Raw genomic sequence first — 26,220 nt, forward strand, 5'->3', positions numbered from 1 at the left:
TTGAACATATATCAGCATGAATATGAGTAATTCCCACCCTAAAAACTTAGGATGCTGAGCAGCCAAAAACAAAAATAAATTATGTCTTCTAAGATAGGTATATAAACAGGCAATTGCAAGATAACACATGTAGTATTTACGGGGCAATAGAGTTCAACAAACAAAAAAGAAAACAATGCAGCATAGAGAAAAGAATGAAAGGAGAGAAATGGCTAAATTTAGGGTAAGTCAAAGTTAGAGGGAGGTACATTGTTGATCCTTGGTTCAACTATTAAATAGAAGGCTAGATTACATACTTTAAAAATTGGGAGTGAGGCAAGGAAAGGGGATTGTTGAAAGTGGCCAATGTTTGGAAGAGATATTAAGGGATATTTTAGAAGGTGCTATGCCTTATTCCCTATAATGTCCAGCTAATACTTTATATAGCGTGATTTCAGTAAATGTTTAGTCATTGAATGTGGAAATCCACCATTATGTTATATAGTGATTCTGGGTCCGCTATTTACCAGCAGAGTGACACTGGGGAAATTAATCTCTCTGTCCCTCGGTGTTCCCATGTGCAAAATGGAGATAATAATATGAGATAATTTATTATATATCTTTGAGAATTAAAAATGTTTTATGTACAGCCCTTAGAACATGTACAGCCCTTAGAACAGTCCTAGGAACTGGCAGCAGTTAGCAGATTATTATTATAATTATCTTGGGTCCATGTTTTTTCTTTAATTTTTTGGTTGCTTTCTTAATAGCAGGTTGTTGGTGATTACTTCCTGTGTTTGCATTGTGTCTGCATCTTACAGTACTACTCATCTCTGTCTATTTTTCTGGTGAGGAACTGAAACATGGCCCTGATGAAAACCAGACCGCAATATTCTCTCCCATCACAACGTTGTGTTCTTAACATTCGCATAAACAATGCTAAGAACAAGGCATAGACAAGACTGCTACGTGACCAGAGAAATGACTAAATACCCACCTCTTTTGACTAACATGAATGATTGCTGCTTTTTTACCAGTGGCAACTCTAGATTCGCTTTATTCTTCTTATCTCTTAGACAAAAAATGTTAAGATTCCCAATCACTGACTTTTTCCTTCTTCTTGAAAGCTCCCAATTCAGAACTGGTTCTTGTTTCCTTATTTAACTCCTTAGAATCATCCAACATAAGCTCAACTCCCATAAGAAGCCTTTTCTTAACCCCCTCCCCATTACTGACATGCTCCTATGTTCCTATGGAGTGCTGTCTCCCTTCCTGCAGCAAGCTAAATAACCTTCACCTTTTACATTTATTTACTTATTTATTTTACAAGCGCGCCCGTTAGTCTTTGGTCTGCTTCAATAGTGGTCATGTAATCAGTCATTGGCCAGAAAGATTGAAAACCAAGAATGATGTGTTAAGAATTGTGTGTTAAAGTAAGAACGAATATGATTTTTAGTAAGTTGCTAAGGGAAGCAGTACATTGCCTGGGGTTTGAAGAATGAAGGTCCTCCTGCATTATGTTTGAGCTCAAACTGAGTTCTGGAGAACTCAGCTGACACACACATGGGATTTTATTGTTGGTTTCTTTTTTTAGAAGAAGAATCTCAATCTTCAGAAACTGTGGATATAAAGTACAAAGAACCTTTTTTTCTGAATCTATTCTTAAGTTGCTGATATTATGCTTCATCATCCCTGAATACTTGAATGTGCATTTCCTATAAAAAAGGACATAACCACAATACAACACTCACAATCAGGAAATTAACATTGATACCTTACTACCATCTCGTCCTCAGCCCATGTGTAAATAACATCCTTTGTATCTAAAGAATGCAGTTCAAAATCGCAGCTTGCATTTAGTTGTCATGTGTGTAGTCTCCTTCAATAGGGAACAGTTACTTCTTCAGTCTCTTCTTAACTAACACTCTGACACTTGAAGATTACAGGTCAATTATTTTAGAGACTATCTCTTTGGGTTTGTCTAACATTTCCTTATCTTTAGTTTCAGGTAATGCATCTTTGGCATAAATATTTTTAAAATGATACTGTGTTCTGTTCTTTGTATTTTATCAGGTGGACCTGATAAAATACATCTTGTCTTATCACTGGTGTTTAATCCTTGAATGAGGTGGCATCTGCCAAGGTTGTTCACTGTGAGGTGACTCTTTTTCCCTTTGCAGTTAATAAGCATTTTTTGCAGGGGCAAGTATATGAGACTATGTAAAATCCTCTTTCTCAGCATAGTTTCAATCTGTTTGCTTGTTTGCTTATATTAATATAGACTCATGATTTCCTGTTTTATTTAATGCGTTATTGTCTGCCACTTTGTATTCATTTTGACCTCCAAATTATCCCTGATTTGCCTAGTGGAAGCCCCTTCAACCTGACTTTTTTTTTTTTTCTACAAGTCTCTATGATTCTTTGAGCACTTCCTCACTTTTAGACACCACAAGTTGTTCTAGGCTCACACTGTAGTTTTCTCCCCCAGCCTGGAATCAGCTACTTCTTCACAAAATCCCTAGCTCTCAATGGATAAAGGTCTTTAGAAGTCAAGATCAAGGTGCTAGCTGTGCTTCCTGCCTTTCATTTTATCTCATGCCCTCTCATTATATACACACAGGCACACACCTCTATTTATTTCTATATCTAACATATATTTTGAAAGACCTGAGTTTACACTAATGCCTCCAATGCCAGACAAAACCATAAAGTTCCATATTTGCAGTTCATTCATGAGCAATCTGCACACATTACCCTTAAGGTACTTATTTGTTGATCAATCTACGAGTAAGGAACTCATTCCCATTGTGTCCGGAGTTGGTTCCTTCCAGTGGGTTCATGGTCTTGCTGACTTCAAGAATGAAGCTGCAGACCTTCACAGTGAGTGTTACAGCTCTTAAGGATGGCACAGACCCAAAGAGTGAGCAGTAGCAAGGTTTATTGTGAAGAGTGGAAGAACAAAGCTTCCACAGCTTGGAAGAGGACCCCAGCGGGTTGCTGCTGCTGGCTGGGGTGGCCAGCTTTTATTCCCTTATTTGTCCCCTCCCATGTTCTGTTTTTGTCCTATCAGAGTGCCCTTTTTTCAATACTCCCTGTGATTGGCTACTTTTAGGATCCTGCTGATTGATGCGTTTTACAGAGTGCTGATTGGTCCATTTTACAGAGCACTGATTGGTGCATTTTACAGAGTGCTGATTGGTGCATCTTACAATACTCTTCCTAGCTACAGAGTGCTGATTGGTGCGTTTTTACAACACGCTGATTGGTACATTTTACAACACGCTGATTGGTGCATTTTATGATCCCCTTGCTAGCTACAGAGTGCTGATTGCTGTGTTTTACAATCCTCTTGTAATACAGAAAAGTTCTCCAAGTCCCCATTCGATGCATGAAGTCCACTGGCTTCACCTCTCACCATTGCTGATCCTATTTCTTTCCTCATGGGGACATCCTCGTCACTCCATTCAGGTTTTACATCCTCATTCCTGGCTACTGCCACATCACGGCACCCATGCAGGCACTCTCTTTACTCCCATTAGGCTCTTACACCCCACATTTGGCCACTATCCCAGAAAGAAACCCTCCTCACCACAACTGGTCTTGACACTCTACACTGGATCACCCCCCATACCCAGACATCCTCCTTACCTGACCTGGACACCCAGTTCTTTTTATCATGCCATCCCTCCTACACAGACACCCTCCTCATGCTGCTTGGGCTTTGACTCCCTGTGTTGGGCTCACCCCTTCAGGGGTGTCTTCCTTACCCTGCTTGGCTTTGAGATCCTGCACCTGGGCTATGCCTCTATAGATGTGCTCAGGTTCCAACACCTGCTGCCAGGCTGCCTGCTCACATGGATGTTTTCCTTATCCTACTGAAGCACTGTCAGGCCACCTTGGGCTGCCTCCTTTGGTGGACGCTCTCATTACCCTTAGCTTGCTCTCAATTCTCACTCTTGACCACTGTGGCTCTCCCAGGCTGAGATGGACACATGCTCAACTACACCTGGTTGGCTAGGACTGAAGTGTCCAGGAAAGGAAGTGAAGAAAAGAGGAAGAGAGCTGTTGGTTTATTTTAAATGAGGAACTCCTAACTTTTGTCTTTTATCATCTGTGTGTTTCAATAAGTCTGACACTTTTGTTTCTCTTTGGCAGAATTGTATATACCTAGCATTTTAAGTCATAGAAAGCTACCTGGATTTTTTTTTTTAGACCAAATCCACCATTGGTTTTCCCTTGTCCAGATTAGATTTAATGCAAGCCTTTCCCAATTTGGTCCAAACCTAATTTTGTTGCCTCTTTTCTGTGTACTTTCTGCCAAGTAACTTAGGAATTCAGCTCCTGTGAACTCTTTGCCTTAAACAAATATGTCATGCCCTTTCCCACATTTATGCATACCTTTTTCTTCCTGGAATGCCCTCATACCATTTTTCTGTTTGGAAACCTCTGACTCATTATTTAAAATTCAGATCAAGTGTCACTTCTCAGTGAAACCTTTTTCAACTCCCTCAGGGTGAGTAAGTTCTTTCTGTCTCTTAAGAGAGTGTTCAGAGCACTTGCTATTTAACTTCTATCATCGACCGTGTAAAATTAGGCAAATTGCTTACCTTTCCTGAGTTTCAGTTTCCTCAACTGTTAAGTGGAGATAATAATAGATAATAATCAATAAAGTTGTCCTTAAGGTGAATTGCAAATAATCAACATGCTAATAATTGCTATTTTTATGTTTATCTGATTATGTTAAAATTGTGTGTTCTAGGCTGATGTGGTGGCTTATGCTTGTAACCCTAGCACTTGGAAGGCTGAGGCTGGCAGATTGCTTGAGACCAGGTGTTGGAGACCAGCCTGGGTAACATACTGAGACCTCATTTCTAAAAAAAAAAAAAAAAATTGCTGGGCACACAGTGGCTCACGCCTGCAATCACAGCACTTTGGGAGGCCAAGGTGGGTACATCACCTGAGGTCAGGAGTTCGAGACCAGGCTGGTCAGCATGGTGAAACCCTGTCTCTACTAAAAATACAAAAATTAGTCAGGCCTGGTCGTGGGTGCCTGTGATCCCAGTTACTTGGGAGGCTAAGGCAAGAGAATCTCTTGAACCCGGGAGGCGGAGTTTGCAGTGAGCTGAGATCATGCCACTGCACGCCAGCCTGGGAGACAGAGTGAGACTGTCTCAAAAAAAAAAAACAAAAAAAAACCCTTTTCTTAGATATGGTTCCAGAAGTTAATTCAAAATCCACAATATGTGATGAACATTTTCTGAAGGAAATTATTCATTCTGTAAATATTTTTAAGCGCATACCATGTACCAGGCATATGTTATGCAATAATGTGACCAAAATAGAGATGCTCTTTGATTTCATGGAATTCACAGTCTAGTGAGAAATAATGAATTTAGCAAAGAATTATTCAAGTGAATAAATAAATATATGCAAACTGTGATAAATCTTAAGAAGGATAATAATTACAAGATCAGTGTGGTATCATAGAAAGAAATTTGGATTTTGTTCCTGGCACAGAGTTTCCAAAACTCTTGGAGTTTCGTGATTGATAACAATCATAGAAGCACCTTTTTTTCCAATGAAGCAACTCTCTTGCTGGGCCCCTAATATAGTTTCAGGATAGAGACTGGGGGCCAGAAAGACCAAACTTTGTCTAGAAGCTTGGAAATTTCAGCCCCACTCCCCAACCTTCAGGGAGTGCAGAAAGGTTGGACTCTGTCCTAATCAACAATGGCTGATGATTTAATCAATTATGTGTATGTAATAAAACCTCCTTAAATAAAACATAAACAATGGGGTTTGGAGAGCTTCCAGGCTGGTGAACATGCAGAGGTTCCTGGAGGGTGGTGTGCCCAGATGGGGCATGGAAGCTCTATTTTCTCTCCCATACCTTGCCCTGTGTATCTCTCCCATTGGTCTGTTCCTGAGTTTTACCCTTCATAATAAACCAGAAATAGTAAGTTAAGTGCTTTCCTGAGTTCTATGAGTTGTAGTCAATGATCAGTTCTAAAAAGAGGGTTGTAGGAATCCCTAACTTTGTAGCTATGTTGGACAGAAGGGCGGGTGGCCTGGGGATTTCATACTTGGGATTGGCCTGTGAAGTAAGGGCAGTCTTGTGGGATTGAGCTCTTAAACCTGTGGAGTCTGATGTTAACTCTGGGGGTGTCAGAATTCAATTGAATTGAATTGTAGGAGACTCAGTTTGTTTCAGGAGGAAAAACAACCCCTCATTTTGGTGTCAGAAGTGTTATGAGTAAACATATGTTTATCACATCATTATTTGCAATAACAAAGTCTTGGAATCAGCCTAAGTGTCTATCAACAGATGATTTGATAAAGAAAATGGAATATATATACTCCATGGGATACTGCTCAGCCATGAAGAAGAATGAAATAATGTCTTTCGCAGCAACATGGATGGAACTAAAGGCCATTATTAAGTGAAATGATGCAGAAACAAAAAGTCAAAGACCACATGTTGCCACTTAAAAGTGGAACTAAACAATGGGTACACATGTACACACCAAGTGGAATAATAGACATTGGAGGTGCCCATAAATTGGAGAGTGGGAGGGGTGTGAGAGATGAAATCCTACACTATTTGGGTATTGGGTAAACTAAAAGTCCAGACTTCACCACTACACAATATATCCGTGTGACACAACTGCACTTGTGCCCTAAATTTATTTTAAAAAATCAAAACAAAACAAAAACAACAAAAATGTAAAAAAAGAATTGTTTGCCAAAATTTTTTAAAAAGTGTTGTGAATGAAAACACCTCCATCAGTAAGCAAATGAAGGAGTTGCTAATTTAGAAAAGAAGTAGAAAAAGTCTTTCTGAAAAATTGATATTTGCCTGAGACCTTAAAGGCTGAGTAGAAATTAAACAAGTGAGATGTGCATGGAAGAGGAACAGTATGTGTGAATGTATGGGGCAAGAAAGAACGTGGCTCCAGTAAGCCAGGTTTTGGATACAATTAATGATAATGTGAGGGATGTGTTGTCAAATGAGATTTAAGTGGCAGTCTGGGGCCATGTCCTGCCCACCTTGAGGGATTCTGTGGATTATAAAACCTGCAATGGAAAGCAATTAGATGCTTTAGTCAGAGCTGTGATCTGACTTTAGTTTTTCCTACAAAACACTCAGGCTACTCTGGGAAGAACATGTAGCAGGGGTACAACTGAGTGACTATGATGGTCCCAGGGAGATGTAAACCAAGTGTTGTCATTGGAGTAGAGAGAAGTTACAAAGACTGAAAGTGCATTTGGGAGACTGACAGACAGGTCTGGTGATGATTGGGATGCAACTGGCAGGTGTGGGGGAGTTGTTCAGGATTAGCAAGGCTTGGGCATGAATAGGAGAAAGGGCAAAAGCAGAGGGGAAGTTTACTAAGACAGTAGTAACTGGAGGAGGAGAAGTTTTCCAAGAGAAGATAAAGAGTTCCATTTTGGACATGTTAAGTGCATTTGAGATGACTGGAGGAAGGCCAAGTGGAAATGTCAAGTATGTGCTTGATTATATGAGTTTGGAGTCCAGAAGAAGAATCTGAGCTCAACATATACATTTGGGAGTTGTCAACATAGAGATAAAAACCCCAGTTCCCTCTCTCTCTGTGCTACCGTTATTGACAAAACTATTCATCTTATTGACTGTAATCTTTCTGGATAATTGTCATCCTAACTATAATATGTAGATGACTTGCATTTGCAGAAAGGTAGTGGCCATCTCTGAAGAGTAACACTGTTAGTTCTGCTATAACATGATATATGTGTTCCTCAGAATGAAAGTGCTATGCAAAGCTGCACAATAAAAACCATGAGGCTTATGGGAAAAATTAGGCAAAACCTCAAAAACTTCTTTGTGACATATTAAAAAAAAGACAGAAACCTAATAAAAACAGTAGCACAGTCTTACACAGGTTAAATGGTCAAGACATACAAAAGTACTACAATAAATATGATACCTTATCTTGAAAAGGACATAAAGTTTGTTTGTGGAAGTGGGCATTGAAGGGTTGTGACTCGTGAGTTATTGTTAAATGGCAGAAGAACCATTTTCTGAAGAATGGAAAGTTGTAATACCAGATACGGATAACTGTAGATCCTTGTGCTTGAGCCAGCCAGCATCAGTTGTATACAATTCACAGCTGTGAATCCTGGGGTATGTTTTCCTGCCTTTGAAAGGTAGGTTTTTTTCAGGCGTACAATGATAATAGTACTCCATTCTTCAAAATAGAGAATTTGATCTAAAGGACAGCTGTTTTCTTTAATTGCCTTCTGTATCACTGCTGGGAATTTTTTTTGTGGCTATCTAATTTGTTCTTACAGCTCCATCCAACAGCTGAAGCCTTTGGAAGTTCTTGCCATGTTTGAAGACACTGTTATCACTAAAACAAAACAAAACAAAAACCACTTCTGCAAGATTTGGTAATTTCTATTTAGGGTCTTTGAATATAGATAGTGCTGTCTCTTTGATTAGGGAAAAGATTGTTTCCAATTTTCTTAACATTTGGTCTTCAGTCCATATACTTTACAATCTTTCTATATTTTTATTCTTCTTTAGGCCTTGCTCTTATTGACTTCCAGCACCCAAATTTTCCTGACCATAGAATTTTCTTTTATTTCCCAGTGTTGTCTCTGATGGTTGGCAGTATGGATTCTTTTACATTTGTTGCTCAGAATGTATCACATGTTCTCTCATTTCATTCAGAGTGCTTTACTCTTTCAAGCTTCTTCTCAGTTCTTAAAGCTTTCCTTTTGCATGCATAATTTGGCATTTCTGAGCCAAGACATTTAGACATATATAAGATGATGAAAGAGTTTTTTTTAATAAACAAGTTTACAAATGCAAAGAAAAAAACAACAGCAAACAAAACAAAACAAAAACAAACCTTGACGTTTAACTCTTGCATTAAGTGAGGTAGATATTTAAGATGTGTGTGGATATGCATTCTGTGCATTCCTACTTGGCTCAGTTCAGCTGGATAAAGGTTTTTACCTTCATGTAGTGTTTTCTGCAGAGAAAATCATGCATATGAAATACAAATTCACATTATACTAAATATTTTTTCTAATTTATCAATTGCTTTGGGACAAATTTGCATTTTCAAAACAAACATTATTGAAAAACTGACTATATTTACTTTACTCTTATTTTCAAATTTTTCTAGTAGAACACCCAAGTTTTGGAAAATAAAAATACTTATAATTGGTTAAGAAACAAATTTTACTCCTGAAAATTTGTAGTAAACCAATTCTTGGAGACATAAAAACTGTTGGCTAAATGAGCATTAAATAGATTTTCCGATTTATACTCTAGATCTTAAGTAACTTTTTAAACTTCAACTTTGTAATAATTTAATTGGATTCCAATAAATGACGTTTTTATCAGACTAACACAAAAATTATTTGTTCTCTTCTTTTCCTCTTTTGTTATCTATCTATCATCTATCTATCTATCTTCTATCTGTCTCTCTATCCATTCATCCATTTGCCTTATGCCAATTCGGTGTGAGAGGTGCATATATGGCAAATACAAGAAACACAGAAAAAATAGATTATATTAAAATTTAAAAACTCTAATTTTAAGTATAATAAGAATAACATGTACATGGAATTTTTAGGAAACATAATTTCCTAAAAATAGGAAATTTCCTTTACACCAAATATATGTTTGTATTATACATATTTCTATAAAGGGTCTGGTGTTTTAAATTTGGATCCTGTCACAAATAAAAATTGGTTGCAGTTGACAAGCTTTATTCTGTTTAACAACTACCAAAATTAGAATTCTTAACAACTGATGGTGAAAAATTTACAACTGATTTTTAGAAAAATTATAGATTATTTATTTCTACCATAAAACAATTTAGTGAAACTAAAAGTTTAATTCAAATGGCTGCCCCACATTACACACACACACACACACACACACACATACACACACAAACACAGCAAAGGGGATTATTATTTATTATGCATTTTTCTTGGGCCAGAAACTCTGTCAGGTGCTTTTAGATATGTCCTCTCTAATCTTCACTCCAAATCCTCATGTGATAGGAACAAGCTCAAAAACAGAAAGAAGTTCAATTTGACCAATAATTACTTTTAAGAAACTAAATTCCAAATTTTTCCCAGGATTTCAGAAATGTTGAATTATGGTATGATACTGGTGTAGAGAAAACTCCTTCTTTCCCGTAGCTGAATTTTGTCTCACTCTTCACTTTACAGGATGTGTTTTTACCTGAGTTAAAAACAAGTTTTTAAAAAAAATTAAAAGTTGGGAGACAGATTAAGATGGTGGACAGGAGGCAGGACTAGCTTGCAGCTCCCACTTGGATGGTCAGAGCAGTGTGTGGAGACTCACATCGTTAACTTTTGCTCCAAGAACTACTGCAGGAACATACCAGGAAAGCTGAGAGAATCCACAAACGCTTTGAAGGAACTGGATCACTGCTGCAGGCTCCCTGAGACACCAAAAAATGGTGAGTCTGCTTCCTTTCTCAATGGGGAAGCTCATGGTCTGGGGCAAGTTCTCAGCCCTGGTCATTTGCTGCCTGGAAATACACTCAGAGTTGTTGTGGGGGCATGGTGGGAGTGAGACTGGCCTTTAGGACTGCAGGCTATGTGGAAGCAGGGTGAGGCCTGTGACTGCTGGCTTTCCCCCACTTTCCTTGTGACCTGTATGACTCAGCAGAAGCAGCCATAATCCCGATAGGAATATAACTCCATTGGACTGGGAACCACACCCCATGTCCCACAGCAGCTGCAGTAAGCCCCACCCAAGGAAAGGCTGAGCTCAGACACACCTATCCCTGCCCCTACCTGGTGGTATTTCTCTAACTGCCCTGGTAGCCGAAGGCAAAGGTCATAATCTCATGGGAGCTCTATGGCCCTGCCCACCACCTGAGAATACTGAATACTTAGCTAGGTGTCCTAGGGCAAGTTTTCATCCTCCCTACAGGACTGCAGTTGATGCAGTCTTGAAAGTGCCACCTCCTGGCTGGAGGTCAACCAATCAAAACCAGTACACTAAACAACAGCACAAACAAGGAACCTCACTAAGTCCACTTCACTTCCTTGCTAACTCCATTGGAGCAGGTGCTGGTGTCCACAGCTGCAGACGTGTAGATGGATCACATTGCAGGACTCTTTGCAGACACTTACTACTACCAGCCCAGAGCCCAGTAGCTCCACTGGGTGGCTAGACCCAGAAGAGCAAAAACAATCACTACAGTTCATCTCTCAGGAAGCTCCATTCCTAGGGGAAGGGAGAGAGCACCACATCAAGGGAGCACTCCATGCAACAAAAGAATCTGAACAGCAGCCCTTGAATCCCAGATCTTCCCTCTGACGTAGTCTACTCAAATGAGAAGGAACCAGAAAACAACTCTGGTAATAAGATAAAACAAGGTTCTTTAACACCCTCAAAGGATCATATGAGCTCACGAACAATGGATCCAAACCAAGAAATAATCTCTGAATTGCCAGAAAAAGAATTCAGAAGGTTGATTATTAAGCAAATCAAGTAGGCATCAGAGAAAGGTGAAATCCAACTAAAGAAATAAAAAATAAGATACAGGATATGAAAAAAAAAGCTCTTCAGTGAAACAGCATAAATAAAAAACAATCACAACTTCTGGAAATCAAAGACACACTTAGAGAAATGCAAAATGCACTGGAAAGTCTCAGCAATAGAATTGAACAAGTAGAAGAAAGAACCTCAGGATCTATATTTCCAAGATGGCCAAATAGGAACAGCTCCAGTCTGCAGCTCCCAGCGTGATCAACGCAAAAGACAGGTGATTTCTGCATTTCCAACTAAGGTACCTGGTTCATCTCACTGGGACTCATTGGACAGTGGGTGCAGCCCATGGAGGGCAAGCCAAAGCAGAGCAGGCTGTCACTTCACCCAGGAAGCACAAGGGGATGGGTGATTTCCCTTTCCTAGCTAAGGGAAGACTTAACAGACTGTACTGGACAAAACAGGACACTCCCTGCACAAATACTGCACTTTTCCCATGGTCTTAGCTACTGGCAGACCAGGAGATTCTCTCCCATGCCTGGCTCAGCGTCTCCCACAACCATGGAGCCTTATTCACTGCTAGCGCAGCAGTCTGAGATTGACCTGCAAGGTTGCAGCCTGGTGGGGGGAGGGGGTCTGCCATTGCTGAAGCTTGAGTAGGTAAACAAAGCAGCCAGGAAGCTCAAACTGTCAAACTGGGTGGAACCTACCACAACTCAGCAAGGCCTGCTGCCTCTATAGACTTTACATCTCTAGGCAGGGCCTAGCTGAAGAAAAGCCAGCAGAAATGTGTGCAGACTTATATGTCCCTGGCTGAGAACTCTGAAGGGCATACTGGTTCTCCCGGCATGGTGTTTGAGATCTGAGAATGGACAGACTGCCTCCTCAAGTGGGTCCCTGACCCCCATGTAGCCTAACTGGGAGACACCTCAAAGTAGGGGCCAACAGACACCTCATAAAGGCAGGTGCCCCTCTGGGACAAAGCTTCCGCTGGAAGGATCAGGCAGCAATATTTGCTGTTATGCAATATTTGCAGTTCTGCAGCCTCTGCTGGTGATACCCAGGCAAACGGGCTGCAGTTGACCTCCAGGAAACTCCAACAGACCTGAAGTTGAGGGACCTGATTGTTAGAAGGAAAACTAACAAACAGAAAGGAATAGCATCAACATCAACAAAAGGGATATCCACAATAAAACCCTATCTGTAGGTCACCAACATCAAAGACCAAAGGTAGATAAAACCACAAAGATGGGGAGAAACCAGAGCAGAAAAGCTGAAAATTCTAAAAACCAGAGTGCCTCTTCTGCTCCAAAGGATTGCAGCTCCTTGCCAGGCCAGTGATGGAACAAAGTTGGATGAAGAATGACATTGATCAGTTGACAGAAATAGGCTTCAGAAGGTGAGTAAAAACAAACTTCTCTGAGCTAAAGGAGCATGTTCTAACCCATCTCAAAGAAGCTAAAAGCCTTGAAAAAAGATTAGACGAATGGCTAACTAGAATAAACAGTGTAGAGAAGAACTTAAAGGACCTGATGGAGCTCAAAACCATGGAACGAGAACTTTGTAACACATGCACAAGCTTCAATAGCTGATTCAATCAAGTGGAAGAAAGGATATCAGTGATTGAAGATCAAATGAATGAAATAAACCAAGAAGACAAGTGTGGAGAAAAAAGAGTAAAAAGAACTGAACAAGGCCTCCAAGAAATATGAGACTATGTGAAAAGACCAAATCTATGTTTGATTGGTGTACCTGAAAGTGACAGGGAGAATGGAACCAAATTGGAAAACACTCTTCAGGATATTATCCAGGAGAACTTCCCCAACCTAGCAAGGCAGGCCAACATTCAAATTCAGAAAATATAGAAAACACCGCAAAGATACTCCTTGAGAAGAGCAACCCCAAGACACATAATTATCAGATGTACCAAGGTTGAAATGAAGGAAAAAATGTTAAGGGCAGCCAGAGAGAAAGATCAGGTTACCCATAAAGGGAAGCCCATCAGACTAACAGCAGATCTCTTGGCAGAAACCCTACAAGCAGGAAGAGAGTGAGGACTAACATTCAACATTCTTAAAGAAAAGAATTTTCAACCCAGAATCTCATATACAGCCAAGTTAAGCTTCATAAGTGAAGGAGAAATAAAATCCTTTACAGACAACAAAATGCTGAGAGATTTTGTCACCACCAGGCCTGCCCTACAAGAGCTCCTGAAGGAAGTACTGAACATGGAAAGGAACAACCGGTACCAGCCACTGCAAAAACATGCCAAATTGTAAAGACCATCGATGCTATGAAGAAACTGAATCGCTTAATGTGCAAAATAACCAGCTAACATCATAATGAAGGGATCAAATTCACACATAACAATATTAACCTTAAATGTAAATGGGCTAAATGCCCCAAGTAAAAGATACAGACTGGCAAATTGGATAAAGAGTCAAGACCCATCAGTGTGCTGTACTCAGGAGCCCTATCTCACATGCATAGGCACACATAAGATCAAAAGAAAGGGATGGAGGAAGATCTACCAAGCAAAAAAAAAAAAAAAAAAAAAAAAAAAAAAGCAGGGGTTGCAATCCTAGTCTCTGATAAAACAGACTTTAAACCAACAAAGATCAAAAGAGACAAAGAAGGCCATTACATAATGGTAAAGGGATCAATTCAACAAGAAGAACTAACTATACTAAATATATATGCACCCAATACAAGAGAACCCAGATTCATAAAGCAAGTCCTTAGAGACCTAAAAAGAGACTTAGACTCCCACACAATAATAATGGGAAACTTTAACACTCCACTGTCAATATTAGACAATCATCGAGAGAGAAGGTTAACAAGGATATCCAGGACTTGAACTCAGCTCTGCACCAAGCAGACCTAATAGACATCTACAGAACTCTCCACCCCAAATCAACAGAATATACATTCTTCTCAGCACCACATTGCACTAATTCTAAAATTGACCACATAATTGGAAGTAAAGCACTCCTCAGCAAATGTAAAAGAACAGAAATTATAACAAACTATCTCTCAGACCACAGTGCAATCAAAGTAGAACTCAGGATTAAGAAACTGACTCAAAACTGCACAACTACATGGAAACTGAACAACCTGCTTCTGAATGACTACTGGGTAAATAGCGAAATGAAGGCAGAAATAAAGATGTTATTTGAAACCAGTGAGAACAAAGAGACAATGTGCAAGAATCTCTGTGAACAACTAAATCAGTGTGCACTAAATGCCCCAAGAGAAAGCAGGAAAGATCTAAAATTGACACTCTAACATCACAATTAAAAGAACTAGAGAAGCAGGAGCAAACAAATTCAAAAGCTAGCAGGGGGCAAGAAATAACTAAGATCAGAACAGAACTGAAGGAGATACAGACACAAAAACCCTTCAAAAAATCCATGAATCCAGGAGCTGGTTTTTTGAAAAGATCAACAATCTTGATAGACCACTAGCAAGACTAATAAAAAAGAAATGAGAGAAGAATCAAATAGATGCAATAAAAAATGATAAAGGTGATATCACCACCAAACCCACAGAAATACAAACTACCATCAGAGAATAATATAAATACCTCTATGCAAATAAACTAGAAAACCTAGAAGAAATGGATAAATTTCTGGACACATACACCCTCCCAAGACTAAACCAGGAAGAAGGTGAATTTCTGAATGGACCAGTAACAGGCTCTGAATTTGAGGCAATAATTAATACCCTAACAACCAAGAAAAGTCCAGGACCAGATGGATTCATAGCTGAATTCTACCAAAGGTACAAAGAGGAGCTGGTACCATTCCTTCTGAAACTATTCCAACCAATAGAAAAAGAGGGAATCCTCCCTAACTCATTTTATGAGGCCAGCGTCATCCTGATACCAAAGCCTGACAGAGACACACACAAAAAAGAGAATTTTAGACCAATAACGATGCTGAACATGGATGCCAAAATCCTCAATAAAATACTGGCAAACCAAATCTAGCAGCACATCTAAAAGCTTATCCACCATGATCAGGTGGGCTTCATCCCTGTGATCCAAGGCTTCTTCAACATATGCAAATCAATAAATGTAATCCATCAATTAAACAGACCAACGACAAAAACCACATGATTACAATAGATGCAGAAAAGGCCTTCAAAAGAATTCAACAGCACTTCATGCTAAAAACGCTCAATAAACTAGGTATTGATGGAATGTATCTTATAATAATAAGAACTATTTATGACAAACCCACAGACAATATCATACTGAATGGGCAAAAACTGGAAGCATTCCCTTTGAAAACTGGCACAAGACAAGAATGCCCTCTCTCATCACTCCTATTCAACATAGTGTTGGAAGTTCCGGCCAGGGCAATCTGGCAAGAGAAAGCAATAAAAGGTATTCAATTAGGAAAAGAGGAAGCCACATTGTCCCTGTTTGCAGATGACATGATTGTATATTTAGAAAACCCCATCGTCTCAGCCCAAAATCACCATAAGCTGATAAGCAACTTCAGCAAATCTCAGGATACAAAATCAATGTGCAAAAATCACAAGCATTCCTATACACCAATAACAGACAAACGGAGAGCCAAATCATGAGTGAACTCCCATTCACAATTGCTACAAAGACAATAAAATACCTAGGAATCCAACTTATAAAGATGTGAAGGACTTCTTCAAGGAGAATTACAAACCACTGCTCAACAAAATAAAAGAGGACACAAACAAATGGAAGAACATTCTATGCTCATGGATAGGAAGAATCAATATCATGAAAATGGCCATACTGCCCAAGGTAATTTATAGATTCAATGCCATCCCCATCAAGCTACCAATGACTTTCTTCACAGAATTGGAGAAAACTACTTTAAAGTTCATATGGAACCAAAAAAGAGCCCACATTGCCAAGACAATCCTAAGCAAAAAGAGCAAACCTGGAGACATCATGCTACCTGACTTCAAACTATACTACAAGGCTACAGTAATCAAAACAGCATGGTATGGATACCAAAACAGAGATATAGACCATTGGAACAGAACAGACGCCTCAGAAATAACACCACACATCTACAACCATCTGATCTACAAACCTGACAAAAACAAGAAATGGGGAAAGGATTTCATATTGAATAAATGGTGCTGGGAAAACTGGCTAGCCATTTGTAGAAAGCTGAAACTGGATCCCTTCCTTACAATGTATACAGAAATTAATTCAAGATGCATTAAAGACTTAAATGTTAGACCTAAAACCATAAAAACCCTAGAAGAAAACCTAGGCAATACCATTCAGGACACAGGAATGGGTATGGATTTCATGACTAAAACACCAAAAACAATGCCAGCAAAAGCCAAAATATACAAATGTAATCTAATTAAACTAAAGAGCTTTTGCACAGCAAAAGAAACTACCATCAGAGTGAACAGACAACCTCCAGAATGGGAGAAAATTTTTGCAATCTACCCACCTGACAAGGGGCTAATATCCAGAATCTACAAGGAACTTAAACAAATTTACAAGAGAAAAAACAAACAACCCCATCAAAAAGTGGGCAAAGACACTTCTCAAAAGAAGACATTTATGCAGCCAACAGACACATGAAAAAATGCTCCTCATCACTGGTCATCTGAGAAATGCAAATCAAAACCACAGTGAGATATAATCTCATGCCAGTTAGAGTGGCAATTGTTAAAAATTCAGGAAACAACAGATGTTGGAGAGGATGTGGAGAAATAGGAACACTTTTACACGGTTGGTGGGAGTGTAAATTAGTTCAACCATTATGGAAGACAGTGTCGTGATTCTTCAAGTATCTAGAACTAGAAATACCATTTGACCCAGCGATTCCATTACTGGATATATACCCAAAGGATTATAAATCATGCTACTATAAAGACGCATGCACGCTTATGTTTATTGCGGCACTATTCACAATAGCAAAGACTTGTAGCCAACCTGAATGTCCATCAATGATAGACATGATTAAGAAAATGTGGCACATATACATCATGGAATACTATGCAGCCATAAAAAAGGATGAGTTCATGTCCTTTGAGGGACATGGATGAAGCTGGAAACCATCATTCTGAGCAAAATATCACAAGGACAGAAAGCCAAACACCACATGTTCTCACTCATAAGTAGGAATTAAACAATGAGTACACTTGGACACAGGGCAGGGAACATCACACACTGTGGCCTGTCAGGAGGAGGGGGTGGCTGCAGAAGGGATAGCATTAGGAGAAATACCTAATGTAAATGACCAGTTGATGGGTGTAGCAAACCAACAAGGCACATGTATACCTATGTAACAAACCTGCACATTGTGCACATGTACCCTAGAACTTAAAGTATAATTAAAAAAAAAAAAAGAATGCATTAGTACTTGCTATTTGTGCATGTGCAACTTAGGACATGTGTATTTTCTTTTCTTTTCTTTTTTTTTTTTTTTTTTGTTGTTGTTGAGATGAAGTCTTGCTCTGTTGCCCAGGCTGGAATGCAGTGGCATAATCTCAGCTCACTGCAACTTCTGCCTCTCGGGTTCAAGTGATTTTTCTGCCTCAGCCTCCCAAGTAGCTGGGACTACAGGTACACACCACCATGTCCAGCTAATTTTTTTATTTTTAGTAGAGACAGGGTTTCACCATATTAGCCAGGCTGGTCTCAAATTCCTGACCTCATGATCCGCCTGCCTCAGTCTCCCAAAGTGCTTGGATTACAGGCATGAGCCACCGTGCCCGGCCTTTCTCTGCTTTTGTAAGGTTAGACTTTGGAATTAAAAGAGGGTGTCTGAGATGACCATGTCAGAATTTGCTCCTTTACAGAGAATATTGAAGATCCCTCTTTCCCTCTCTCTTTCTAATGCTTTGCATTTCTTGACACCTGATGTAGGATTGATAATAAGTTAAAAGCATCTTTTCCATTTCTTTAACTAGAGCAAAATGAAGCCATAAAAATATCTACCAACCCTGGGAAGCTCTTGCATAAATGACTGGTGTTTATTGCTAAGGTAAAATGTTTTTGATTATGAACATGCTGCTATGTGATCTTCTGAATAAAGATAATTTTGTACTGTTAAAAAAAAAAAACCTCAGAGCTCAAAGACAAGGATTTTGAATTAACCCAATCTGTTAATATTGTATTTGTTAATTTTCATGCTGCTGATAAAAACATACCCAAGATTGGATAATTTATAAAGAAAAAGAGGTTTAATGGACTCACAGTTCTACATGGTTGGGGAGGCCTCACAATCATGGCAGAAAGTGAAAGTCACATCTTACATCATGGCAGACAAGAGAGAATGAGAGCCACGTGAAAGGGGAAACCCCTTATATAATCATCAGATCTCATGAGACTTATTCACTACCAGAACAGTATGAGGGAAACTGCCCCCATAATTCAATTATCTTCCACCGGGTCCCTCCCACAACAATAGGGGATTAAGGGAACTACAATTCAAGATGAGATTTGGGTGGGGACACAGCCTAACTATAATATTCCACCCTTCGCCTTCATGAATCTCATGTCCTCACATTTCAAAACCAATCATGTGTTCCCAACATTCCCCCAAGGTATTAACTCATTTAAGCATTAACTCAAAGTCCACAGTCTAAAGTCTCATCTGAGACAAGGCAAGTCACTTCTGTCTGTGAGCCTGTAAAATCAAAAGCACATTAGTTACTTCCTATATACAATAAGTGTACAGGTATTGGGTAAATACACCCACTCCAAATGGGAGAAATTGACCAAAACAAAGGGGCTACAGATCCCATGCAAGTTTGAAATCCGGCAGGGCACTCAAATCTTTTTTTTTTTTTTGATGGATTCTCACTCTGCAGCCCAGGCTGGAGTGCTGTAGTGCAATCTCAGCTCACTGCAACCTACGCCTCTTGGGTCCCAGTTCAAGCAATTCTCCTGCCTCAGGCACCAGAGTAGCTGGGATTACAGGTGTGCCACCACGCCCAGCTAATTTTTGTATTTTTAGTAGAGACGGGGTTTCACCATGTTGGCCGGGCTGGTCTTGAACTCCTGACCTTGTGATCCACTCGCCTTGACCTCCCAAAGTGCTAGGATTACAGGTGTGAGCCACCATGGTCAGCCAAGGGCAGTCAAATCTTAAAGCTCCAAAATGATCTTCTTTGACTCCATGTCTCACATCTGGTTCATGCTGATGCAAGAGGTGGGTTCCTGTGGTCTTGGACAGCTCTGGCCCTGTGGCTTTGCAGGGTACAGCCTCCCTCCTGGCTGGTTTCATAGGTTGGCATTGAGTGTCTGTGGCTTTTCCAGTCACACAATGCAAGATGTCAGTGGATGTACTATTCTGGGGTCTAGAAGACAGTGGTGCTCTTCTTAAAGCTCCACTAGGCAGTGTCCCAGTGGGTACTCTGTGTGGAGTCATCAACCCCACATTTCCCTTCCACACTGCCCTAGCAGCGGTTGTCCATGAGGGCCCTGCCCCTTCAACAAACATCTGCCTGGACATCCAGGCATTTCCATACATCCTCTAAATTTTAGGCCAAGGTTCCCAAACCTCAATTATTGACTTCTGTGCACTTGCAGGCTCAACACCACATAGAAGCTGCCAAGGCTAAGGGCTTCCATCCTCCAACGCCACAGCCTGCTCCTTTTAGCCACAGCTGGAGTTGCTAGGACAAAGGGCACCAAGTCCCTGGGCTGCACACAGTAGGGGGTCCTGGGCCTGGCCCATGAAACCATTTTTCCCCCCAAGGCCTCTGGGCCTGAGATGCGAGGGGCTGCCACAAAGCTCTCTGATACACCCTGGAGACATTTTCTCCATTGCCTTGGTGATTAACATTTGGCTGCTGTTACTTATACAAATATATGCAGTAGGCTTGAATTTCTCCCCAGAAAATGGGTTTTTCTTTTCTATTGCATCATTAGGCTGACAAACCTTTATGCTCTGCTTCCTTTTGAACACTTTGTCACTTAGAAATTTCTTCTACGAGATACCCTAAATCATCTCCTTCAAGTTCAAAGTTCCACAAATCCCTAGGGCAGGGGCAAAATGCCACCAGTCTTTGCTAAAACATAGCAAGAGTCACCTTTACTTCAGTTCCCAACAAGGTCCTCATCTTCATCCGAGTCCACCTCAGCCTGGATTTTATTGTCAATATCATTATCAGCATTTTGGTCAAAGCCATTCAACAAGTCTCTAGGAAGTTCCAAACTTTCCCACATCTTTCTGTCTTCTGAGCCCTCCAAGTCTCTAGGAAGTTCCAAACTTTCCCGTATTTTCCTATCTTCTTTTGAGCCCTCAAAACTGTTTCAACTTCTGCCTGTTACCTAGTTCCAAAGTCGCTTCCAGATTTTTAAGTATCTTTACAAAAGCACCCTACTCTACTGGTATCAATTTAACATATTAGTCCATTTTCCTGCTGCTGATGAAGACATCCCCAAGACTGGGTAATTTACCAAGAAAAAGAGTTTTAATGGAGTCACAGTTCTACGTGGCTGGGGAGGCCTCACGATCATGGTGGAATGCAAAAGTCACATCTTACATACCAACAGACAAAACAGAATGAGAGCCAAGTGAAACGGGAAACCCATTATAAAATCATCAGATCTCATGAGCATTATTCACTGCCACGAGAACAGTATGGGATAAACTGCTCCATAATTCAATTACCTCTCATTGGGTTCCTCCCACAACATGTGGGGATTAATGGAACTACAGTTCAAGATGAGATTTGGGTGGAGACACAGCCAAACTATACCAGTCAAAGACAAAGAAAGAAAGAAGAAAAAAATGAACAAAGCCTCTAAGAAGTTTGGGACTATGATAAACATCTAAACCTAGGAATAATTGGTGTTCCCAAGGAATAAGAGAAATCTAAAACTGTGGAAAACATATTTGAGGGAATAATCAAGGAAAACTTCCCTGGCCTTTCTAGAGATCTAGACATCCCAATACAAGAAGCTCAAGGAACACTTGGGAAAATTATTGCAAAAAGATCATCACCTATGCACATAGTCATCAGATTATCTAATGTCAAGATGAAGGAAAGAATCTTAAGAGCTGTGAGGCAAAAGCATCAGGTAACCTAGAAAGGAAAACCTATCAGATTAATAGCGGATTTCTCAGCTGAAACCCTACAAACTAGAAAACATTGGGGTTCTATTTTTAGCTTCCTTAAACAAAACAATTATCAGCCAAGAATTTTTTATTCAGTGAAACTTAGCTTCATAAATGAAGGAAAGATAGTCTTTCCCAGATAAAGAAATGCTGAAAGAATTCACCACTACCAAGCCAGCATTACAAGAACTGCTAAAAGGACCTCTAAATCTCAAAACAAATCCTAAAAGTACACCAAAATAGAACCTCCTTAAAGCATCTCACAAGACCTATATAACAATAACACAATGAAAAAAACCCAAGGTATTCAGGCAATAAATAGCACAATGAATAGAGTAGTACCTCACATCTCAATACCAACATTGAATGTAAATGGCCTAAATGCTCCACTTAAAACATACAGGATGGCAGAATGGATAAGAATTTACTAACCAAGTTTCTGCTGTCTTCAGGAGACTCACCTAACACATAAAGAATCACATAAACTTAAGGGGGTAGAAAAAGATATTCCATACAAATGGACACCAAAAGCAAGCAGGAGTAGTGATTTTTATATGAGACAAAACAATAAATAAAGTAATAAATAAATAAAGTAATAGCAGTTAAAAAAGACAAACAGGGACATTATATAATGATAAAAGGACTAGTCTAATAGGAAAATATCACAATTGTAAATGTATATGCACCTAACACTAGAACTCCCAAATTTATAAAACAATTACTACTAGACCTAAGAAACAAGATAGATGGCAATACAATAATAGGGGGTCACCTTAACACTCCAGTGACATCATTAGATAGGTCATCAAGACAGAAAGTCAAAAAAGAACATACTTAAATTATATTGTACAACAAATGGACTTAACAGATATTTACTGAACATTCTACCCAACAACTGCAGAATATACATTCATCAGCACATGGAACAGTCTCCAAGATAGATCATATGATAGGTCACAAAACAAATCTCAGTAAATTTAAGAAAGTGGAAATTATATCAAGCTCTCTCAGAACACAGTAGAATAAAATTTGAAATCAACTCCAAAAAGGAGCCCTCAAAACCGTGCAAATTCATAAAAATTAAATAACCTTCTCCTGAATGATTGTTGGGTCAATAATAAAATCAAGATGGAAATTAAAAAATTCTTTGAACTGAACAATAATAGTGGCACAACTTATCAAAACCTCAGGGATACAGCTGATGCGGTGCTAAGAGTAAAGTTCATAGCATCAAATGCCTACCTCGAAATGTCTGAAAGTGCACAAATAGACAATGTAAAGTCACAACTCATGGAACTGGAGAAACAAGAACAATACAACAATCTAAATCCAAACCCAGCAGAAGAAAATAACAAGGATCAAGGCAGAACTAAATGAAATTGAAACAAGCAAACAAAAACAATACAAAAGATAAATGAAACAAAAAGCTGGTTATTTGAAAAAATAAATAAAATTAATAAACAATTAGTGAATTTAACCAAAAAAGAAAAGAGGAGATCCAAATAAGCTCAATTAGAAACAAAATGGGAGATACTACAACTAATACCACAGAAATACAAAAGATTATTCAAGGCTACTATGAATACCTTTACATGCATAAACTAGAAAATCTAGAGGAGATGGATAAATTCCTGGAAATATACAACCTTCCTAGATTAAACCAGGTAGATATAGACTATGAACAGACCAATAACAAGCCACAAGATTGAAACAGTGATAAAAACACAGCCAAGAGGCTGAGCATGGTAGTTCACGCCTGTAATCCCAGCACTTTGGGAGGCTAAGGTGGGTAGATCACTTAAGGTCAGGAGTTTGAGACCTTGCTGGCCAACTTGGCAAAACCTCATTTCTACTAAAAACACAAAAATTAGCCAGGTGTGGTGGCATGTACGTGTAGTCCCATCTACTTCGGAGGCTGAGGCAGGAGAATCACTTGAACCCAAGAAGCAAAGGTTACAATGAGCTGAGATCTTGCCACTGCACTCCAGCCTGGGTGACAGAGTGAGACTCCACCTAAAAATAAATAAATAAATAAATAAAGCCAACAACAAAAAAAAGTCTAGGACCAGACGGGTTCACAGCTGAATTATATCAGACATTCAAATAAGAATTGGTACCAATCCTATTGACACTATTCCAAAAGATAGAGAGAGAGGGCATCTTCCCTAAATCATTCTATGAGGCCAGTATCACCCTAATACCAAAACCAGGAAAGGACATTAACCAAAAAAGAAAACTATAGACCAATATCCCTGATGAACATAGATGCCAAAATCCTTAACAAAATACAGCAAACTGAATTCAACCACATGTCAAAAAGAGAATCCACCATGATCAAGTGGATTTTATACCAGGAATGCAGGGATGGTTTAACATACACAAGTCAATAAATGTGATACACCACAAAAACAGAATTAAAAACAATAATTACAGTATCATCTTAATAGACACAGAAAAAGCATTAGACAAAATCCAGCATCCCTTTATGTTTAAAACCCTCAGCAAAATAGGTATAGAAGGAAAAACATTAAGGTAATAAAAGCCATTTATGACAAACCCACAGCCAACATTATACTGAATGGGGAAAAGTTGAAAGCATTGCCCCTAAGTACTGGAACAAGACAAGGATGCCCACTCTCAACACTCCTTGTCAACATTGTGCTAGAAGTGCTAGCCAGAGCAATCAGAGAAGAGAAAGAAATAAAGGGCAGCTAAATCAGTAAAGAGGAAGTCAAACTGTCACTGTTTGTTGATGACATGATCTTTTACCTAGAAAACCCTAAAGACTCATCTAAAAATCTCCTAGAACTGGTAAATGGATTCAGCAAAGTTTCAGGCTACAAAGTTAGTGTACACAAATCAGTAGCCCTGCTAAACACCAACAGTGACTAAGCTGAGAATCAAATAAAAAACTCAGCCTTTTTCACAATAGCTGAAAAAAAAACCCCAAAAACTTAGGAACATACATAACCAAGGATGTGAAAGACCTCTACAAGGAAAACTACAAAACACTGCTGAAAGAAATCATAAATGACACAAACAAATGGAAACACATCCCATGCTCATGGATGGGTAGAATCTATATTGTGAAAATGAACATACTGCCAAAAACAATCTACAAATTCAATGCAATTCCAACATCATACTGAATGGGGAAAAGTTGAAAGCATTGCCCCTAAGAACTGGAACAAGACAAGGACGCCCACTCTCACCATTTCTCTTCAACATGGTGCTAGAAGTGCTACCCAGAGCAATCAGAGCAACAAAATACCACCATGATTCTTCACAAAACTAGAGAAAACAGTCCTAAAATTCATATGGAACCAAAAAAGAGCCTGCATAGCCAAAGCAAGACAAAGCAAAAAGAACAAATCTGGAAGCATAATATTACCTGACTTCAAACTTATACTATAAGGTCATAGTCACCAAAACAGCATGGTACTGGTATGAAAATAGGGACATAGACCAGTGGAACAGAATAGAGAACCCAGAAATGAAGCCAAATACTTACAGCCAACTGATCTTTGACAAAGCAAACAAAAACATAAAGTGGGGAAAGGACACTCTATTCAACAAATGGTGCTGGGATATTTGGCAAGCCACATGTAGAAGAATAAAACCGGATCCTCATCTCTCACTTCATACAAAAATCAACTCAAGATGGATCAAAGACTTTAATCTAAGACCTGAAACCATGAAGATTCTAGAAGATAACAGTGGAAAAGCCCTTCTAGATGTTGGCTTAGGCAAAGAGTTCATGACCAAGAACCCAAAAACAAATGCAATAAAAACAAAGATAATAGGTGTGACTTAATTAAATTAAAAAGCTTCTGCACAGCAAAAGGAATAATCAACAGAGTTAACAGACAACCCACAGAATGGAAGAAGGTCTTCACAATCTATATATCCAGCGAAGGACTAGTATCCAGAATCTACAAAGAACTCAAACAAATCAGCAAGAAAAAACAAACAATATCACCAAAAAGTGGGCTAAGGACAAGAATGGACAATTATCAAAAGAAGATACACAAATGGCCAACAAGCATATGGAAAAATGCTCAACATCACTAATGATCAGGGAAATGCAATTCAAAACAACAGTATGATACCACCTCACTCCTGCAAGAATAGCCATGATCAAAAAATTAAAAAAAAAAAAAGAGATATTGGCATGGAGGCAGTGAAAAGGGAACACTTTTAAACTGTTGATGGGAATATAAACTAGTACAACCACTATGGAAAACAGTGTGGAGTTTCCTTAAAGAACTAAAAGTTGATCTACCATTTGATCCAGCAATCCCACTACTAGGTATCTAACCAGAGGAAAAGAAGTCATTATATGAAAAAGCTACTTGCATATGCATGTTTAGAGCAGCACAATTTGCAGTTGCAAAAATATGGAACCAGCCCAAATGCCCATAAATCAATGAGTGGATAAAGAAAATCTGTTATATATATACCATGGGATACTGCTAAGCCATAAAAAGGAACAAAATAATGGCATTTGCAGCAAACTGGATGGAATTGGAGACTATTATTCTAAGTGAAGCAACTCAGGAATGGAAAACCAAACATCATATGTTCACACTCATACGTGGGAGCTAAGTTATGAGGATGCAAAGGCATAAGAATGAT

The 26,220-nt window shown here is 39.2% G+C and overlaps 1 long non-coding RNA gene across 2 annotated transcripts in view, besides 1 other annotated feature; it reads left to right on the top strand.

Annotated features, from left to right (window-relative positions):
* Window positions 10,097–11,296: an enhancer, noted in NCBI's record as "MED14-independent group 3 enhancer chr4:72479894-72481093 (GRCh37/hg19 assembly coordinates)". NCBI's record gives its function as "activates an origin of replication core promoter dependent on BRD2, BRD4, P300/CBP and CDK7 cofactors, and independent of MED14, by STARR-seq in HCT116 cells {active_cell/tissue: HCT116}" and the evidence as "EXISTENCE:reporter gene assay evidence [ECO:0000049][PMID:35650434]".
* LOC105377271 (uncharacterized) overlaps window positions 10,424–26,220 on the top strand; it is a 40,126-nt gene continuing 24,329 nt past the window's right edge. Inside the window, exons 1-2 of one of the 2 annotated variants that reach the window (XR_001741717.1) lie at window positions 10,424–10,463; window positions 18,428–18,501. This is a non-coding gene — a long non-coding RNA (uncharacterized LOC105377271). Of the gene's footprint in view, window positions 10,464–18,180; window positions 18,502–26,220 lie in introns of those variants that run through there. The other variant, XR_938866.2, reaches the window with a different exon arrangement.

This window comes from Homo sapiens, chromosome 4 (genome assembly GCF_000001405.40).
Source record: "Homo sapiens chromosome 4, GRCh38.p14 Primary Assembly".
Taxonomy (NCBI): Eukaryota; Metazoa; Chordata; class Mammalia; order Primates; family Hominidae; genus Homo; species Homo sapiens.